General features: G+C 57.7%; 1 protein-coding gene across 6 annotated transcripts in view, besides 6 other annotated features; it reads right to left on the minus strand.

Annotated features, from left to right (window-relative positions):
- Positions 1 to 20,219, minus strand: part of MAD1L1 (mitotic arrest deficient 1 like 1) — a 417,151-nt gene that overhangs the window by 43,927 nt on the left and 353,005 nt on the right. The window lies entirely within an intron of this gene.
- Positions 1,028 to 1,845: an enhancer, noted in NCBI's record as "H3K27ac-H3K4me1 hESC enhancer chr7:1900385-1901202 (GRCh37/hg19 assembly coordinates)". NCBI's record gives its function as "activates a minimal SCP1, AML or CMV promoter by ChIP-STARR-seq in primed H9 embryonic stem cells {active_cell/tissue: H9 hESC(primed)}" and the evidence as "EXISTENCE:reporter gene assay evidence [ECO:0000049][PMID:30033119]".
- Positions 1,846 to 2,662: an enhancer, noted in NCBI's record as "H3K27ac-H3K4me1 hESC enhancer chr7:1901203-1902019 (GRCh37/hg19 assembly coordinates)". NCBI's record gives its function as "activates a minimal SCP1, AML or CMV promoter by ChIP-STARR-seq in primed H9 embryonic stem cells {active_cell/tissue: H9 hESC(primed)}" and the evidence as "EXISTENCE:reporter gene assay evidence [ECO:0000049][PMID:30033119]".
- Positions 3,597 to 4,271: an enhancer, noted in NCBI's record as "H3K27ac-H3K4me1 hESC enhancer chr7:1902954-1903628 (GRCh37/hg19 assembly coordinates)". NCBI's record gives its function as "activates a minimal SCP1, AML or CMV promoter by ChIP-STARR-seq in naive H9 embryonic stem cells {active_cell/tissue: H9 hESC(naive)}" and the evidence as "EXISTENCE:reporter gene assay evidence [ECO:0000049][PMID:30033119]".
- Positions 13,112 to 13,281: an enhancer, noted in NCBI's record as "experimental_98143 CRE fragment used in MPRA reporter constructs". NCBI's record gives its function as "activates a minimal promoter by MPRAs in K562 erythroleukemia cells, with activity observed for both the introgressed and non-introgressed 7:1912554 or rs73046375 variant alleles {active_cell/tissue: K562}" and the evidence as "EXISTENCE:reporter gene assay evidence [ECO:0000049][PMID:34662402]".
- Position 13,197: a transcriptional cis regulatory region, noted in NCBI's record as "Neanderthal adaptively introgressed variant 7:1912554 (GRCh37/hg19 assembly coordinates) or rs73046375 in the experimental_98143 CRE". NCBI's record gives its function as "modulates activity of the experimental_98143 enhancer by MPRAs in K562 erythroleukemia cells {active_cell/tissue: K562}" and the evidence as "EXISTENCE:reporter gene assay evidence [ECO:0000049][PMID:34662402]".
- Positions 13,912 to 14,884: an enhancer, noted in NCBI's record as "H3K27ac-H3K4me1 hESC enhancer chr7:1913269-1914241 (GRCh37/hg19 assembly coordinates)". NCBI's record gives its function as "activates a minimal SCP1, AML or CMV promoter by ChIP-STARR-seq in primed H9 embryonic stem cells {active_cell/tissue: H9 hESC(primed)}" and the evidence as "EXISTENCE:reporter gene assay evidence [ECO:0000049][PMID:30033119]".

Raw genomic sequence — 20,219 nt, forward strand, 5'->3', positions numbered from 1 at the left:
TCCCTAGACGTGACATCCTGCAGGGCGGCCTCTGTTCCCTAGACCTGACATCCTGCAGGGCGGCCTCTGTCTCCCTAGACGTGACATCCAGCGGGGTGGCCTCTGTCTCCCTTAGACATGATACCCGGCGGGGCGGCCTCTGTCTCCCTAGATGTGACATCCGGCGGGGCTGCCTCTGTCTCCCTAGATGTGACATCCTGCGGGGCGGCCTCTGTCTCCCTAGACGTGACATCCTGTGGGGCTGCCTCTGTCTCCCTAGACGTGACATCCTGTGGGGCGGCCTCTGTTCCCTAGACCTGACATCCTGCGGGGCAGCCTCTGTGTCCCTAGACCTGACATCTGGCGGGGCGGCCTCTGTGTCCCTAGACCTGACATCCTGCGGGGCGGCCTCTGTGTCCCTAGACCTGACATCTGGCGGGGCGGCCTCTGTCTCCCTAGATGTGACATCCTGCGGGGCGGCCTCTGTGTCCCTAGACCTGACATCTGGTGGGGCGGCCTCTGTGTCCCTAGACATGACATCCTGCGGGGCGGCCTCTGTTCCCTAGACCTGACATCCTGCGGGGCGGCCTCTGTGTCCCTAGACCTGACATCTGGCGGGGCGGCCTCTGTCTCCCTAGATGTGACATCCTGCGGGGCGGCCTCTGTGTCCCTAGACTTGACATCCTGCGGGGCGGCCTCTGTCTCCCTAGACCTGACATCCTGTGGTGGCCCCTGTCTCCCTAGAGGTGACATCCTGCAGGGCAGCCTCTGTCTCCCTAGGGGTGACATCCTGCAGGGCAGCCTCTGTTTCCCTAAATGTGACAACCTGCAGGGTGGCCTCTGTTTCCTGTCCCTCGTCCCTCACAAAACGCTTTGTTCTTCCCCAGTGAAGGTCTGGAAAACGAAGCTGCCCAGCTCTGCCTGGGGGCTCCCTTGGGTGCCTAACCGAGGGCAGGGGCTACTGGCGACTGCACCCACATGGCTGCCGGCCTCAGGGAATAAGGATCCCCTGGGCATCATCCTGGGCATCACCCCGGGGCCTGACCTCCGCTCACATCTCAGGATTCTCTGAAGTGCTCTCTCTCGGCCTCAGGAAGGGATGCCGTGAGCATCCCGAGCACAAGGGCACTGCACTGAGGACAGCTCAAGGCTGCCCTGGGTCACCCCTGTGCCTTCTGGGCTCTCCGGCAGCTCCAGCTCATGGCAGACAGGCCGGCCGTCAAATCTCCCACCCAGTTCTGGGTCTTGCCTGGAGGGGCTAGTCTATAGGTGGTTGTACCAGCAGCTGCCCCGATGGAGTCCACCTCTGTCCTGGCCCGCCCCTCCCCTCGGAAGCCGTCACTGGGACACCCAGTCTGTACCGCACAAGTCCCAGCACGCAAGCCCAGAGGCGGCCGCTCACCCTGCCCCTGACTGGACAACTGCCTCCATATTCAAACCACAACCACCAAAGACGGGCAGGAGGCTGGTGACCCCCCGGGGCTGAGGCTGGGGCTCGGCCACGGCTAGGCTCTGGGGAGCAGGGCAGGTGCTGGGTCCGGTGGGGGCTGGGCTGAGACCGGGCTGGTCCCCCTCTAGGCAAGGGCCCTGGGCACATGGCTCCACCTGGCTGAAGCTATCCTTTCCCAGTGACAACGGGGCTGAGGTGGGGACTAAAGGCCACAAGGGCCAGGACACGCCTCTAAACAGAAGCGTCACTGCTCCGCCTGCCCCCTGGTTGGAGGGACACTGCTCCGCCTGCCCCCTGGTTGGAGGGACACTGCTCCGCCTGCCCCCTGGTTGGAGGGACACTGCTCCGCCTGCCCCCTGGTTGGAGGGACACTGCTCCGCCTGCCCCCTGGTTGGAGGGACACTGCTCCGCCTGCCCCCTGGTTGGAGGGACACTGCTCCGCCTGCCCCCTGGTTGGAGGGACACTGCTCCGCCTGCCCCCTGGTTGGAGGGACACTGCTCCGCCTGCCCCCTGGTTGGAGGGACACTGCTCCGCCTGCCCCCTGGTTGGAGGGACACTGCTCCGCCTGCCCCCTGGTTGGAGGGACACTGCTCCGCCTGCCCCCTGGTTGGAGGGACACTGCTCCGCCTGCCCCCTGGTTGGAGGGACACTGCTCCGCCTGCCCCCTGGTTGGAGGGACACTGCTCCGCCTGCCCCCTGGTTGGAGGGACACTGCTCCGCCTGCCCCCTGGTTGGAGGGACACTGCTCCGCCTGCCCCCTGGTTGGAGGGACTCCTGGCCCCCCAGCCCAGGAGCTGCTGGGAACGTAGAGGGCTGGGGTGTGCCCTCAGCCTCAGAGCCCCACCGCCATGCAGGGGACGCAGAGTGACTAGAGAAGTGAGTCTCTTGAAGGCCTCCTAGACCTGCAGAGCCTCTGGCATCAGCCATGGCTGGACACCCCCACCCATTTCCTCCACAGAGAAACTCGGGGAGCTGCTCAGGGGTGTCTGGGGCGTCCCCAAGAGCGGCACCCCGCAGCCTCGGTGCTCTGGACTTCGGGAGCCAGGTTACTCCGGGTTGGTCTCCTCAGCACACCGAGCAGCACCCCGGGCCTCTGCCCACCAGAGGCCAACAGCCTGGCCCCAGCTGTGAGGACTGAAATATCTCCAGATGTTGCCACGGGTCCCCTGGGAGGCAGAAGCAGCCACAGTTTGAACTGTGCCCTAGAAGACGGCAAAGCTCCACAGAGGCCTTCCCTCCTCATGTCCCTGTCCTGTGCATGAAGTCTGGTGGGGACCCCAGAGGCAGGGGCTTGAGGATTTGTGCCGGAGAGTCCCGAGACTGCAGCAGGGCCGACCTGGATCCCTCCCTCCCTGCCTTGCCCCTCCCAAGCTGTGTGAGTCTCTCAACCTTTCACAGTGTCAGAATCCTCTGTACAATAAAGTTCATCAGATCCACTCAGGGGGCATTGCTGGAGGCTGAGGGCATCGGCCCTGGCCGGTCCAGCAAGTGGCTGCCATCTAGGTAACGGTCTGCCTACAGGCCTGTTATTTACTTAGTATTTTCTTTAACCCAACTTTCCTTATTAGCTTCAATAGGCCCAGTGAAAAAGGAAGCTTTACATCACTGCTGTAAAATGAAAAAAAACAGTGCTTGCTATAAATAGAGTGACGATGAAAACAAACTCAAAAGAGACAAAACAATTCACCGAAACCCTCATCTACTGGTCTGAGGTGGGCTCTGGGCCCACAGCTACTTGCCGGCCGTAGAAAGGGGCCCGCAGGGTCAGATGTCAGGGTCCCATGGGCACTAGACTGAGTCCGTGTCTTCAGGGGATCAGACAAGTCCCACATGTGTTGGGGAGACCCAGAGCCTCCTCCTCACTGCCTGGTTGCTGATTGTGGGGCCGTCTTGCACAGGCCTGGAGGCTGGGAGGGGACGCTGCACTCCGCACCCTCCATCCAACCCCCCAACCAGAGGAGGGAGCCCCAAGCCCCGCAAGCCAGGTGGCGTCCAGATCTGAGCGCACGAGGAGGCCGCCTCAGCACGGGCTGAAGACCTCACTCCTTCGGCCTCCGAAGACGGGGTTAGCGGAGCCCAGGGCGGGGTGAATGCCGGGTGCGGCTCATCAGGCCCGAGAGGGCAGGGAGGAAGGCCTGGGGCCAGGATCTAGTTAGGCACTGGTGAGGGTCCGCAGAGAGCCTGTTAACAGTCTGGCTGCAGAAAGGCAGCTACCGGCAGGCCCGGGGCCAGCGGCACGGCCGTCACAAGGCCTGGGCGGGGAGACCTCGCGGTCCACTGAGGGCCTCTGTGAGGAGAAAGATGAGACAGCACTTCAGTCCTGGGGAGGGTCTGGAACAAGCCCCCGCACAGCACGGCCTGGCTGAAGGCCCGGGAGCCAGTACTGAGGCTGACCCCTGAGCAGCACTTCAGCCACATCTCACCCCCAGACCCAGGAGGAGACTTGGGCTTGCAGAGACCGTCACCTGCCCACACCCCACGCGCTGGGCTCAGCCTGTGTTCTCAGCTGCCCTGCCCTGCCCCATCTTGCCCCTCCGCTCCCTGGAGCTCCTGGGTGGAGGGTGGCCGGCCTGCAGTCCCGGAACACCGTGGGCTCCCGTGCTCCTGCAGCCCCGTCAGGCACCCGGGGGCCCAAGGATAGAAAGCCCCGAGGAAGGCCAGGCGCGGTGGCTCCTGCCTGTAATCCCAGCACTCTGGCAGGCCGAGCCAGGTGGATCACAAGGTCAGGAGTTCAAGACCAGCCTGGCCAAGATGGTGAAACCCCGTCTCTACTAAAAATACAAAAAATTAGCCAGGCATGGTGGCACGCACCTGTAATCCCAGCTACTCTGGAGGCTGAGGCAGAGAACTGCTTAAAACTACTCTGGAGGAGCAGAGGTTGCAGTGAGCCGAGATCGCGCCACTGCACTCCAGCCTGGGCCCCGAGGAAAGCCGAGGGAGAAACTGGCCAGGATGGGGACGGGGCGGCCCTGCGGAGGAATTCCCGCAGCCCGGTGGGACTTGCAGAGGAACAAAGACCCCGGGCCAGGGTCTCCAGGAGGGTCAGACAGTTGGGGAGCCGCTTTCCTGGCCACTTGTGTTGCTAGCAGAGACACCTGAACACCTGAAGGAGGAGGGGAGGCGGCTGCAGGGCTCATGGCCTGTCTCAGCTCAGCACTGGCTCCCTGCAGGGCAGACCCGGGGCCCCTTTCCTGGACGGGACTCGGGGGAACTTGCCTTTGGCCAGAGCTCCAGGGAACCTGCAGATCAAAGGTCCAGCCCTTCCTTTTGACTGGGGCTCAGGGCTGGATGGGTCATTATCCAAATTGCTTCTGGCTTCTGAACACCCCCCTGCCGGGAGTCTTTAAAGGGTGGATTTGCAAAGTCCCCATGACACAGTTGCTGGGCAATTTGTCAGGACGAGGAAATATTCCTTAGACATCCACACGAGCTGATGCCCAGAACTGCTGCAGCGGTGCCCTTCCCCCATGCGGGGCTGTGGCCTGGACGTCTGTCTCCCGACCTCACGTGGACCCCTGATCCTCGATACTGGAGTGGGGCCTAACCGGAGGTGTTTGGCCGTGAGGGTGGGCCCTCGTGAACAGACTGGCCCCCTCCCTGGGGTGAGGGGGTTCCCACTGTTGGGAGAGCCTGGTGCCCCCCGCCCCCACTCCGCCCCTTTCTCGCTGCGTACTCTCTGCACACAACAGCTCCCCTCGACTTCTGCCAGGAGTGGATGCGGCCTGAGGACCTTGCCAGATGCAAATGTCCAATTTTGAACTCTGCAGCCAGCAGAATCCTGTGTCGAATAAGCCTCCTCATAAACCACGCAGTCTCAGGAGCTCTAGTATAGCCACACTGAAGCACTGAGACACCTACCACGCCCGCAGCTCAAGTCCCCACCTCACGCCCACTGACCACGCTCTCACTTGTCTAGTGACACCCTTCCGGGAGCATCCCTGTCCCCAGTCTGCCCTGTCCAGAGCAGGTGACCAGGCCCATCCTGTCTGGGACTCCCGGAAGGGGGCACATGCGTGAGGCGTGCACAAGCACCCACCCTATGGGATCTGGCCCACAGAGTCAGGGGCCCAAGGCTTCCCACCAAGACCCCAGCTCTCCACAGTGGCTCCTCCTTGGGGAAAGAAGGGCCAGAGAGAAGCTCTTGGGGGTCTGCAAGGCCTGTCTGCCTGTCCCTTGAGTCAAAGCTGACCTTGCCGGGCACAGATGGGGCCCCCAGGCCTGGTGCCAGCCCCGGGGCATCCCAGCCCTGCTGCTGCCCGGCTGTAGCCCTGAGTGCCCACAGCAGAGCTTTCAGAGGTCTCAGGACACCCTGCCCTGCAAGCTTCCCTTCAGTCTCCTCAGAAGAAATTGCTTTAATATTATTTACAAGCGCAGGGCGACGGAGCAGCCAGATGGGAAGATGAGTCTTTTTACGATGCAGGGAGGACTGGAGACCTGAGAAGGGATACTCAATATTAATACCATCACCTCAGTGTGGAATTGAGGCCTCTTGGTAACCAGAGGCTGTTCACACAAGATCCCTTGAGGAATGCCTTCCACAAACTTTGATGTGAACTAATTAAGTTTGCACAGTTAATCAGGACTGGCTGCCTTGGAGACGCAAAGGCACAGACCCAGAGAGCGGCTGCTACGGGATCTACAGCGACTGCTCTCTCTCTCGAATGGCAGCCCCTCCTGCTTGCAGGCCCTGTGCACCGCCTGGGGGCTTCGGGGCTCCACGAGCCAGATGACAGCCTCTAGTGAGCCACTGGGCCCTCGGGGAAGCCCTGGACAAGCCTGCCAGCGTGACAGGCACCATCGGCCCGCAATGGGCCAGGCAGACAGCCGTGATGCGCCCCAGGGGAGGGTGGGGTGGTCCTGGGTCTGGAGAACCATGCTGGTTTTGAAGCAAAACTCTTGGGATAGCCAGGGATGTCCATGTCAGAGACCACGAGTGCCCCCTGACAGACCGTGGGTGGGAGCACAGATGCTCAGCAGGGCTGGTTGGTGGGAGGGGGGCCAGAACGCCCGGGTGCACACTGGGAGCCAGGTGCCTGGGTTGGGAGTATAGGGCCTCAGTACATGCTGGAAGCCAGGTGCCCAGGTTGGTGGTGCAGAGCCCGGGTGCGCTCTGGGAGCCAGGTGCCCAGGTGGGAGGAGATAGACGCCTAGGCCCTTGCGCTGTGGGTCCCGACAGCCTCTGCCCTCCAAGACAAGGGTGGAGCCTTGCAGAGCCTGCTCCTGGAACCCTAACTGGTTCTGTAAAGCTCCCTGTGCCCCCACTGCAGGCTGAGGCCGTAACATGCTCCCAGGAACAAAGGGCTGAAGCAAGAGATGAGAGCGAGCTCCACCCTCCAGACGGTTCCAGTCTCTGGGGCAGAGACACGAGGGTGCACTGTGCTGAGGAGAGGTCTTAAGTGGGGAAGAGGAGGCTCAGGGAGCGCTACAGAGAAGCTGCTGGTGTGAGACGCCACGGGAGGCTGCGGACAGGCAGGCAACGCAGAGGCCATGGCACCTCTTGCCGGCCAGCCCCAGAGCAGTCCTGCTTGGCGGGAGCGTTGGGGGCAGGCAGGGGTGAAGGGCAGGGAACATCGTGAAAACCAACTAGATCTGTTCCACGGGCTGACGGGAGCCCTGAGGGCCTTCAGTGAGGGTGTACCATGACTGGGGAAGCAGCAGGAGGCAGCGACATAGGGCCCGGTGAGGGCCAAGGAGGAGAGATGGGCAGCTCAGCTGCCAGCGCTGGCTGGGCCAGGCTCCTGCAGGCGTCTCACTGTGCTGGCCTGCTCTCCATGCCCACAGCGGTCCTCCTGCAGTAGGGATGGGGAGGTGCAGCTCGGAGGTAGGGGAGGTAGTGGGCAGCACTCACTACAGGGCCCGCTGGGCTCCTGACCGCAGAGTGGGTCACCACAGCAGCACCTGCTGGCCCAGTGGGTGAGGGGCTGAGGTCGGCTGCAGTACTTGGAGATCTAGGGCCAAGCTGGGGCGAAGTGGGAGACAGAGGCAGGCAGAAGCTGGTGAGATGGATGGCACGGTCAGTGCCACAGACATGGGCACCGTAGGCCTCCCCTGGCATCACTGACCACATGCCAGGGACACACATGAAGCTCATGCCCAGCCCAAGCTCCAGAGGCCTTCGGGGCTAATGGAGGAGGGGAATGCCGGGACAAGGAAGTGTGGGACAAGGAAGAGGTGCTGGCTGCCTCCGCAGGACCCCCCCGGAAGATGTAGAGGAGAGAAGCGGGTCCAGCATGGAAGGCGGCACTGCAGCCTGAGCTCCAGGTCTGGATGAGGCGGTGGCAGCAGCTTCCTCTGGGGGCCGCAGGAATTGGGACAGATCTGGCCCTTCTGCTCGCCCAATCTTCTGCAGAGTGCAAAGCGGGCCATGCATCCCACTGCAGGTGTGCAGTGAGTAGGAGCGAGGTGGGCCATGGGGCGCGGAGGCTTCTGCACATCTCAGCAGCACTCTGCCAGATTCTACCGGTGGCTCGGGCCCAATTTCCATTCCAGGAACCTGCGCCTGAGGCCTCCTGCAGGCAGGGAGAAGGGCCACGCTTCCTGGCCTCCGGGGCAGAGCTCCTGCAGGGTGGCTGTAGGGGATGGGAGGGGTGGCACAGGGAGGTGACACAGTCCCTCATTGGAGGGACTGGACGGGCTGAGCACTGGCCCCTGCCATCAGCTCTGGGACAATAATTGGAGCTGAAGTTGTTCCAACGACTTATTAAAAATAAATGGCGATGCATCGGAGGCAGTCCCTGCCCAGATGAGAGCCACATAATTAGAGCAGTGTCTGTGCTCGCTTCTCCCGTCTTCCCTAATACGGGGCGACAACCGTCTCTGAGGGGCCCTCCACATCTGTCCTCTGTGTGGCCAGTGCCCTGCCCTGCCCCACATGGCGCTGAGCAGACGCCAGCAGTAATTCCCCTACTGACCTCTGTAAGCACTGTCCCTGCCGTGCCCGCTCAGAGTGGGCCCTCCTGCACCCTGCCATTCAGCCCAGCGAGGTGCACTGTGGCCCCCCAGACACCAGCACTCCTGACCCCACAGTGGCCCCTGGGGTGGACAATTTGGCCAAGATAACCTTGAGGCAGAACAGGGAGCCAAGCCCCACCTGCTGATAACCGAAATCAGTTAGAACTTTCTGGATTTTTAAGGAATTGGCTCTGAGATTTCAAGTCACTGCCTCCCCAGCTCCTGGGTACTGTGGAGGCAGCGTGGACTTCCATGGCTGCTGCCGCCCAGCACACACCACGCTTCCCGGGCTGCTCCCACGCAGGCCGCGCCTCCCGGGCTGCGTGCTGCTGGAGTGGGGCCCTCCATGTCTGTCCTCCCCAGCGAGGCCTCCCACCCACCCCACCCCACGGATAATTTACACAAAGAAAGTACAGGCTCAGCAGGGGGTGGGGAAGGGAGCTCCTGGAGGTCCCTCCAGGGATGGAGCATCATCCTGGGGTCCTGGGATTAGGCTTGGATTTCTCCAGCGCGTCATGCGATACCCTTGCGGCCTGCCTGGAAGTCAGCACAGCCCATGCCGGGTAGGAGTGACACGCACTGCGTGTTCACAGCCTTAACCAGAGGCGAGAGTTCTCACAGTTGGGGATGCGGCTCAGCACCAAGGGGCCAACAGGACGCAGTGACGACCACCAGGGGAACGCCCAGAAGACCAGCATGTCAGCTAAGGAGCTGAAGGTGTGACCTCCCCACACAGGGGCCCAGCGGTGCAAGCCCTGGCACACCAACCCTCTGCATGGAGAACCTGGCCTCTTCCCCACACGGACGAAGCTGAGCACGGAAGCGCCGCCTCACCGCGCCAGGCAGAAAGCTAGCCCGGCACAGCCCAAACCCTCGCGTGTGTAGGACTCCCCCAAGGCTCTGTGAAAGGCAGGCTCTGGCTCGGCAGGCTGGGGTGGGGCCCGAATGGCACCGACGCAACTGGTCCAGGCCACACGTGGACGGTGAGGCCCGGGACGGGAACATCCGAGCAACGATCCATGCCCAGGCACCATCGCCCGCCCCCATGGCTGCCGGCATGGGGCGGGGTTGGGTCTCAAGGAGAAGGCACACACGCTGCTGTGGGGGCCACAGAGGCCCGGGGGAACGCCAGGGAAGGAGCAGTCAGCCCACGTGGAGAGCACCCCTTGCCTGGGACCCCCTCCCACAGCCTCTCCCAGAGGCCTCTCTGAGTTCCCAGCATCTACCTCGGCGCAGGCTCTTAGCTCTCCCTGAACTCCACCTTATAGGCTCTCAAGGGCAAGAACCAAGTCCAGGTTCCTAAACTCCCCAGGTTTCCTTAAATCCCCAGCCCAGGGTTGGGCACAGCGATGGCCTGCAAGAGCTCAGCCCACGTGCAGCTGGGAGCAGGTGACCTCCCCAGGGCCCTCTTCCCAGCGCCTTTGCTGCCTCCCCTTCTCTCCAACCTCAGTATCACAGGGACCCGGGAAAAAACACTGAAAAACGTGACAAAACGGAACATAACCATGTTCCAGCCTGGCTGTGCCATCCATCTCCAGCTGCCGAAGGGTAATTTAATTAGCCTGCGTCGGTAATGAGCTACGATTGTCAATCAGCACTGTCACACTAGCACGGGTTGAGGGGGCCGAGGACCACAGCCTCATGGAGATCACGTGCGTGGGCTCCATGGAACACATCACGACTGTCCCTGCAGGAGGTGATGCCACACCACACCTAGACTGGGCTCCCGCAAGTGCCTCCATGGGGCAGGCAGGTTCAGGTCCAGCTGCTGACGGAGGACCCAGGCTCGTCCCACAAGGCAGGCTGTGAGCCCAGGAAGCAACGGGGTCCAACAGGCGGCTGGCTGGAGCACTTCATAAGCCAAGGGGTGCCTCGCCCGTGCCTCCCCTGCCCCTGCCGTGCCAACCCGGAGTCCACATTGGTAGGTGAGGTGTGGGAGGCCCAGACACGGCAGAACAAGCCTGACCTTGAACCGAGACAGGGAGAGTGACTGACCCCAGATGCGAGCCGCTGCCCAGAACTGTCGGCAGGAAGGCTGTGCAGGTGGCAGCTCACGATGTGTCACATCCGGCCTAGTTGGTGCCCAACATATGCCTGCCATGCTGAACCCAACATATGCCTGCCACGCTGAACCGACCATAACACCTGCCACGCTGAACCCAACATATGCCTGCCACGCTGAACCGACCGTAACACCTGCCACGCTGAACCTAACATACGCCTGCCACGGTGAACCTACCGTAACACCTGCCATGCTGAACCCAACATACGCTTGCCATGCTGAACCCACCATAACACCTGCCACGCTGAACCCAACATACTCCTGCCACGCTGAACCCACCGTAACACCTGCCACGCTGAACCCAACATATGCCTGCCACGCTGAACCCAACATACACCTGCCACACTGAACCCAACATAAGCCTGCCACGCTGAACCGACCATAACACCTGCCACGCTGAACCCAACATACGCCTGCCACGCTGAACCCACCGTAACACCTGCCACGCTGAACCCAACATATGCCTGCCACGCTGAACCCAACATATGCCTGCCACGCTGAACCCACCGTAACACCTGCCACACTGAACCCAACATACACCTGCCACACTGAACCCACCGTAACACCTGCCACGCTGAACCCAACATATGCCTGCCACGCTGAACCGACCATAACACCTGCCACGCTGAACCCAACATATGCCTGCCACGCTGAACCGACCATAACACCTGCCACGCTGAACCGACCATAACACCTGCCACGCTGAACCTAACATACGCCTGCCACGATGAACCTACCGTAACACCTGCCACGCTGAACCCAACATACGCCTGCCATGCTGAACCCACCGTAACACCTGCCACGCTGAACCCAACATACGCCTGCCATGCCGAACCAACCGTAACACCTGCCACGCTGAACCTAACATACGCCTGCCACGTTGAACCTACCGTAACACCTGCCATGCTGAACCCAACATACACCTGCCACGCTGAACCCACCGTAACACCTGCCACACTGAACCCAACATACGCCTGCCACGCTGAACCGACCATAACACCTGCCGCGCTGAACCCAACATACGCCTGCCATGCTGAACCCACCGTAACACCTGCCACGCTGAACCCAACATACGCCTGCCACGCTGAACCCAACATAAGCCTGCCACGCTGAACCCATTGTAACACCTGCCACACTGAACCCAACATACGCCTGCCACGCTGAACCCACCGTAACACCTGCCACGCTGAACCCAACATATGCCTGCCACGCTGAACCCACCGTAACACCTGCCACGCTGAACCCAACATACGCCTGCCAAGCTGAACCCACCGTAACACCTGCCACGCTGAACCCAACATATGCCTGCCACGCTGAACCCAACCTACGCCTGCCACGCTGAACTGACCATAACACCTGCCACGCCGAACCCAACATATGCCTGCCACGCTGAACCCAACATACGCCTGCCACGCCGAACCCACCGTAACACCTGCCACGCCGAACCCACCATACGCCTGCCACACTGAACCCAACATACGCCTGCCATGCTGAACCCAACATACGCCTGCCACGCTGAACCCAACATAACACCTGCCACGCTGAAGCCAACATACACCTGCCACGCTGAACCCAACATACGCCTGCCACGCTGAACCCAACATACGCCTGCCACTCTGAACTCCTGCACCTGTGATGGCGGTGCAGGCTTCCCCGGAGGGCCAGCAGCTCGGAGCCCCAGAGGAGATGTGGAGGGGACATGGAGGGGACAGGGTCTAGGGTCCCCACACTTGGGGGTGGAGGAGATGAGAAGAGAGGGGGCAGAACTACGGTGGCTCAGAGCCCACAGGACAGAGAAAGCAGAGGGAGGGAGAGACAGGATGAAGACCTCTCATCTCCAGGCTCTGCTGTGTTCCAGCATGACTCCCAGGCGGCAGCTCCTGCTGACAGATACAGGCCCAAACAGCCCAGTCCAGGCCCCAGGCCTTGGGGAGCCTCCTCCACACCCTGCAGGCCATCTGCGCTCCCTCTGTCCCCTGTCCCGCGACAGAGAGGCTGACACCTACCCCGCAGGGCTGCCTGCAGGGTCAGACATGCACACTGTGAGCCCCACGGGGTGCTGCAGGCCTGGGACTCAAACACTCTATAGAGAGGATCGGGGCCACACTGGGGCTGCCGCACCGTTTCCCAGATGACAGGTCATGCCCAGCGGCCTGGCCGATGGCCCTGAGCCCCAGGAAGTGAGGCCCCTGGTCCAGGTGCACCAGGCCTCCCCACAGCACCTGCTCCTGGGTGAGCCCTCACCCTCTGCGCTGCGGCTTCCCCGTCTGTCTCTGCTCCCAGGCCCTGAGCCTCAGGGCAGGCAGCTCCTCCTGTTCATGTCTAGCCCATGTCTGGCATCCAACAGTCGCCTGCGACACCGAACTGGGCTCAGCTGAACGAGAGGCCTTTCTTTCCAGAACAGGATCCAGGCTGAAAATCACCTCCAGGACGCAGCCCAGGGCAGAGGCCGCTCTCTGCTCCCGCCGGCTCACACTCACACGGGCAGGTCTCCAGGGCTGTCCTCCTGGCTGCGGACTCCTGGGCACTGGACCGTGCCTCTCTCATCTGCCCCCAGCACAGGGCCAGACACGGGTGATATGGAGAAACGCTTGCTGAACGAATAAACACAGGAATGAAAAGCCAGCTCCGAGCCTTCTGTGTGCTGAGATCGAACTCCACAGTGAGGATCGTTCTGTTTGGAGAGGACACCGCGATGGACGTCAATAAAACGTCAACGCTTCCAGTCAATTCAAACACCCAGGGTGGGGGGCGCGTCAGAAGGAGAGAAAGCCGGAAACTGTCACGGAGAGAGAGATGGCCGTGATCTTTAATCCAGAAATCCCACTTTGGGGACTTTATCCCCAGGTGAGAAACGGAGAGAAGAAAGGGCCCAGCCCAGCAATGACGCAACGAGTCACACAGGGAAGGGCTGCATGCCGAGCCGTGGAGGAGCGGGGAGGAGCCCCCCGTGGGGCTGGTGGGCCCGGTTCCAATTCTGGTGCAGCCTCTCCTGCCTCAGTGTCCCTTTTCATAAGGGGGGCCTTGACCCCCACCGTAAATGTGTGCAGGGAGCCTGGCTCACAGGCCCCATCCCCGGCTGGGGAGTCCCCTCTGGACCTCACGGGCTGGGGCGCGAGTCCGGGTCCTGTCCTGGGGCCTCAATGGGCTAGAGAGCGCCAGCCCTAAATGGGGTTGTAATTACAGCAAGAGGGTGGGAGCAGGGGCAGGGCTCTGGGAGGAGGTTGGGGAGGCCTCAAGGAAGGTGGCATTTGGGCTGAGTCCTGGAGGATGCGAGGGGCGGTGGGGAGGGGCAGGTGGGGAGCCCTGGTGGAGAGCTAGTAGGAGCACGGCACGGCCGGGGCTGGACAGTGCTGAGGGGTACGGGCAAAGCACCTGGGCTCTCTACGGATGGGGGCCAAGGGGCTCTTCTGGGGCTGGGCAGGGGGCTCTGCGGTGGATGGAGGGGTAGTGGGAGATCCTGGCAGGGGACACACCAGCTGCCCACTGCTGCCTCCCTCACTGTAACCCCCGACCACCATGGGGGAGTGGGCACCCCGGGTGCAGGATGTGCCCTGACAAGGGCCGCAGCTCACCCCTGATGGACACCCCCACCGAAGCCCAAGCTGGCCCTGAAGCCCAGTGGGGAGACGTGTGTTTGGGGAGCAGGCAGGGCTTATCCTGCCTCCAGATGCTGAGGGACTCCTGGCCCTGAAACTGCTCCCCGTGGCTGAACGAGAATGGATGCTGAGCCCATCAAGTCGGCACCAGGGAGGAAGCGTGGAGCACACAGGCCCAGGCTGAGGCCAGAGGGCCTCTTGGAGCACCCCACGCCAGGGTCAGTTCCGGTGGGGAGGCGTGGAACACACACAGGCCCAGGCTGAGGACAGGCGGGCCTCTCTGAGCACCCCATGCTAGGGTCGGTGCTTCTGCCTGGCCACCGGGGATCCCGGGACGGTGTTCCAGGCTCTCCATCTGCACCGGAGTGGGGATGGAAAACGAAGGTCAGGCTGCCCAGCAGACAGTGGCTGGCGCCAGAGGTCAGTGCAGCGAGGCCGTCTCGGTGCACGGCTGGTAAGACCCGGGGTCTCCCACCAGCGCATCAGCTTTGGGGAGGTGACACACACTGGCAGACAACCGTGTCATCGCACGGCCAGGCTGGGCCACAGTGCAGAGGACAGAGGGGGTGACCGTGGCTTGGGATGGTCAGGGAAGCGTCTCAGGAGGAGACGTTGCAGCAGCACCGGGACGGGGGTAAGACGGTGGCCAGGCCGTGACATCGAGGGTAGCACCCGCCGTGGCCAGGGTGAGGCTCTGGTGGAGGAGAGGAGGCGGAGGGCTGACCTTTTGATCTTGATAATCCTATAGCTTTCCGCACAGCTTGTGGCTGAGTGCGGCTTCCTTAAAAAAAAAAATAAAAGCGCTGTTGAGTGGCTCTCACCTATCAGCATTACCCAGAGGCAGGTGGCTCTTCATCGATCGCCTGGTGGGCTTAGGAATTGACCCAGGAGGGAAAAGCAGCTCGCAGCACACCACCTGCTACCTGCTCGATTGGGGCCTTGTGTGGCTCAGCAGGACCCACAGGCCCTCCCGCCTGGGCACTTAGTGTACACGGGGAGGGGTGGGGCTGGAGGGCTCCAGGAGAGAGAGGTTGGGTAGGATGGTAGAGAGGAGGGGCAGGTATAGGGAGGAGGGGAAGGCAGGGAGAGAACACAGAGGCCTCCGGCTCTGCAGCATGGAGACCGGCCACACCCCAGGCCTGGCCATAGGCACCCTGCACCTGTGCCCAGTGAGTGGCCCCCACCCCGGGCCCCGGCTGGGCCTGGGAGCTCCAGGGCAGGCATACTCCGAGCCAAGGGCCTCCTTCCCCTCTGCAGGGCAGGCTGGGCAGGTACAATCAGGACAAGCTCCCTGTGAGACTGGGGACCCAGGCCCAGTCCCAATCCAGGTGAAGGTCCCTTCCTTCTGCCCCAGAGACGACTAACGAGCAGCTCCCCTGGCTGCCCCAGAGCCCCCCACAGGGGCCATGGCTTCTGACCCTTCAGACTCAGCTGTTCCCAGGGGCCCTGCTGCTGCCCTGCCCGCCCCCACGGCTGCACTCAAGCCTGCGCTGTGCACACCGAGGCCAGCTGAGTACCGGATAGGACCTGGGCTGAGGCTGCCCAGCTCACAGGGAAGCAGAAGCCGAGAGACCAAGAAGAAAACATCCCCCAACTGGCTGACAGTCGCCCTCCTCGACCCCAGATGCCACTAAGAACAACGCGAAGTTCTGGCACGCAGGGAGGGAAGTCCGTGTTGACTTGGGGGCGGGTCTGCAGCAGGAAGGCTGGGCACACCCTCCACTGGCTGCTCACTAACTCCCCTGCTGGCAGAACCTTCCGCTGCACAAGCAGAGGAGAAAGGAAGGCGTGGAACACAGCAGGTGGCCCACACGGGCTGGGAGGGGCAGGGAGAGGAAAGGCGGCAAGGTTCCCAGCAAAAGAGAAGACGCCACTCCAGGAACCCCGGGAGGTATAAGGGAACCCTGTTTAGTAACGCTGCATGTGCAACAGATAACAGGTAGTTCACGTGCACAGACGTGTGCGAACATCTATGATGTAACCGAGCGGGGCTGTGCAGAGCAACTGTTACAGGCTGAACTGTGTCCCCCAAATTTAGATACTAACCTAATCCCCATGTGACTGTATTTGGAAATAGGACCTTTAAGGAGGGAAGTTAAGTCTGATGAAGGTCATAAGGGTGGGTCCTGATCCAGCAGGGGCACCAGAGCTCTCCAAGTGCACAGTGGAAAGGTCACACAGGAATACAAGGGGCGGCCGTCCACAAGCCGGGAGGAGAGTCCTCCCCAGGGGCCAACTCCGGTGCCCTTTGATCTCAGATTTCAGCCTCCAGAATTGTGTGAGACACACGTTTGCGGTCTCAGCCCCCCGCCGTGGGGCTCTGTGACGGCAACCCCAGCCAGACCAGCAGAGTGGTGGACACGGCCAGGTCTTATTTTGGTGAACTAGCCCCTTGGCTCCATAGATCTCTGTAACGTACTTATGCGGGAGGATGGTAGCGGCATGGCAGCCCCACCTAGGAAGCAAGGTCTCCACAACCATTGGTCATGTTAAACCAGCTCCTTCTCTGGAGGCTAAGGGCCTCACGTGGTCAACTGCAGCCCAAGGTCCCGAGCCCCCCGTCTGGTCCAACACCAGGTGCTTTGTCTCTCTTCTCCTTCGCACAGGTGGTCACCCTGCCGGACGCTGCCCCTTTCCCCACCGTCCTCACCCACCGAGACCAGGTCCTACCACAATAAAAGGACTCTGGTTAGGGCTTTATGGAGTCACCAGCCCTTCAGAGACACATGCTACAATACTTGAATGATTGCAGCTAAATTAATTACGATACCTTGGATTTGCTTCAGAATAATCCAGGAAGGGGGAAGAGGGTGGGATGGGCTCACAGGGACTTCTCGATGCTGTTTTCCATATTTTTATATATATGCTTAAAACTTTCCATGGCAAAAAGTGAAAATAAACACAAACAGAAACCAAACCAAAAGCTAAAAGATGACAACTCATCCTAACCAGGCCAGGGTAACCTCCTCTCAAAACCTAGGCTCTGGAAGGACATCTTGCTCCTACCCCCAGAAGGTGATGTCCTTGGCCCCAGAGCCCCTGCCAGGGCTGCCCGGTCTTTACCCCTCTGCTCAAGGCCACACGCACAGGATGTCAACAGTATTTGTAGAATTAGCGAGGCAGCATGGGAAGGTGCGGTTCCATCTCCAGGCCCCCCGCCCTGGTCCTCCTCCCACTACTGCCAGAAGCAGTAAATATGTGAATACAGTTCACGTATTTAAATAGGTGAATACACTTCAACAAGCATTTTTGAATCATTTTAATTTAGAAGATAATGTACTCTCTAAAGTGAAAAAATAATTTCACAAAAAAATTTTGTGTAAAAATTACATAAAAAGAAAAAATGGAAAAATACTTTTAAAATGCTCTATGTTAACTAGTAAGATTATTTGAAAACAGACTGACATAGAGCTGGGGTCATCAAACTCCAACCCATGGGCCAATTCTGGCCCACCGCCCGCTTTTGTAATAAAGTTTTACTGGCACACATTTGAGCTCATTATGTAACAGTTCCTTCTGTGCTACAACAGCAGAGGTGTGACACAGACAGTATGGCTCCCAAAGCCTAAAATATTTGATACCTGTTTCTTTACAGGAAAGGTTTACTGACCCTTGCCCTAGAGCAATAACTAAACCAAAACAGAAGAAAACCAAAGAGGTATAATTAATAAGCCAATGTTGGAGAAAACATGGAATACCAAAAAACAGCCCAAAAGAGGCAAGAAAAATGAAAAAAAGAATATACGAGACAAAAAGAAAACAAATGACAAGATGGCAGATTTAAACTCAATGTCATAAAAATTATATTAAATATAAATGGCATAGATTATCAGTCTGAATAAAAAAAGCAAGATTCAATTAGATGTTATCTTCAAAAAATCCATTAAAAATATACAGACACAGGTAGATTAAAAGATTAGAAATATAGATAGGTATATATAAATATTAAAATTGTAAGAAAGCAGGAGTGGCTATATTAATATTACTCAAGTCAGACTTCAGAACAAGAATATTTAAGAGATGAAGACAGACATTGCATAATTATAATTACAATTGCAAGTGATCAAGAAGATATAACAATCTTAACTGCGTATGTACCCCAAAATAGGGATTAAAAATATAGGAAGCAAAACCTGACAGATCTGAAAGGAGAGAGATAAAAAAATCGATAAAACTTAGAGTGATGACGAAAAAAGAGATGATATGTATTGCCAAAATCAGAAATGGAAGAAGGGATGGCACTACAGATGCTATGGGTAATACAAGGATAATAATGAATTATTATGAATGATTTTATGCCAATAAATTTGACAGTATACACAAAATAAGCAAAAACTCAAGAAGATACAAATGACCAAAACTGACTCAAAAAACATCTGAGTAGTTCTATATCTATTAAATTAAATGCATAATTTAAAAAGCTTCCCACAGAGAAAATGCCAAGCCCAGATGACCTCACTAGTGAATTCTATCAGATATTTAGGGAAGAAATATCTCACACAAATTCTTCCAGAAAAAAGAGGAGGAGGGAACCCTTCCCAATTCATTTTTGAGGCTAGCATCATCCTGATACCAAGGCAAACAAACACATTACAAGAAAAACTAAACCACAGATGAATATTGCACAAGATCATAGATGCAAAAATTCTCACTAAAAATTAGGAAATTGAATCTATCAATTGTATAAAAAGGGACCCAGTGCGGTTTATCCTAGGAATGCAAGTTAGGTTTAACATTAAAAAAAATCAACCAGTATTACTTACAATATCAACAGAATAATTAAGTTCATATGAACATCTCAATAGATGTAAAAAAAAAAACTGACAAAATTCGACTCTTAGCAAGTAGAACAGAAGGGAACTTTCTCAGCCTGATAAATGGTATCTATGAAAAACTCATATTTAACAGCATACTAATGTCAAAATACTGGATGCTTTCTCGCTAGCATCAGAAACAAGGTAAAAATGTCCCCCCCCCCCCATTCTTATTCAGCACTGTACTGAAATTCCTAGCCAGTACTGAAGGGCAAGATAAGGAAATATAAGGCATAAAAGTTGAAAAGGAAGACATAAAACTCTAACTTTATGCACACGATACAATTGTCTATGTTGAAAATCCTGAAGAAACTACAAAAACTTTCTAGAACTAATAAGTAAATTCAGCAAGGTTACAGAATACGAGACCAATATATAAAAGTCAATTATTTCTATATATTAGGAATGAAACATTGGAAAATAAAAATTTTAAAGCACATTTACAAAAGCATGAAAACATGAACTAGTTAAAGCTAAGTATTTTAAAAATACACATAACCTGCATGTTGGAAAATAAAAAACATTGCTGGGAGAAGGTAAAGACCTATATAAATACAGAAATATACCATTTTCATGGATTGGAACACAATATTGTTAGAATGTCAGTTCTTCCCGGCCGGGTGCAGTGGCTCATGCCTGTATTACAGGCAGGTGGATTGCCTGAAGTCAGGAGTTCGAGACCAGCCTGGTCAACATGGTAAAACCCCATCTCTACTAAAAATAAAAACTTAGCCGGGTGTGGTGGCAGGCGCCTGTAATCCTAGCTACTCAGGAGGCTGAGGCAGGAGAATCGCTTGAACCTGGCAGGCAGAGGTTGCAGTGAGCCGAGATCACTCCATGGCACTCCAGCCTGAGTGACAAGAGTGAGACTTCATCTCCAAAAAAAAAAAAAAAAAGAATGTCAGTTCTTCCCAAATTGATCTACAGATTGAATGTAATCCAAATCAAAGTCCCAGCAGGCTTTTTTCTAGAAATTGACAGGCGGATTCCAAAATTTATGTGGATCTAGAATAGCTATAATTTTGAAAAAGAACAAAATTGGAGGACTTATGTTACTTGACTTTGAGACTTACTATAAAGCTGCAGTATTCAGGATAGCAGCACAAGGTCACCTGAATGGAACACAGAGTTCAGAAACAGAACCACACATATGGCAAACTGATTTTCTTTTGAGACGGAGTCTCACTCTGTCGCCCAAGCTGGAGTGCAGTGGCGCGATCTCGGCTCACTGCAAGCTCCTCCTCCCGGGTTCACGCCATTCTCCTGCCTCAGACTCCCCAGTAGCTGGGACTACAGGCACCTGCCACCACACCTGGCTAATTTTTCGTATTTTTAGCAGAGACGGGATTTCACTCTGTTAGCC

This window comes from Homo sapiens, chromosome 7 (assembly GCF_000001405.40).
Source record: "Homo sapiens chromosome 7, GRCh38.p14 Primary Assembly".
NCBI lineage: Eukaryota > Metazoa > Chordata > Mammalia > Primates > Hominidae > Homo > Homo sapiens.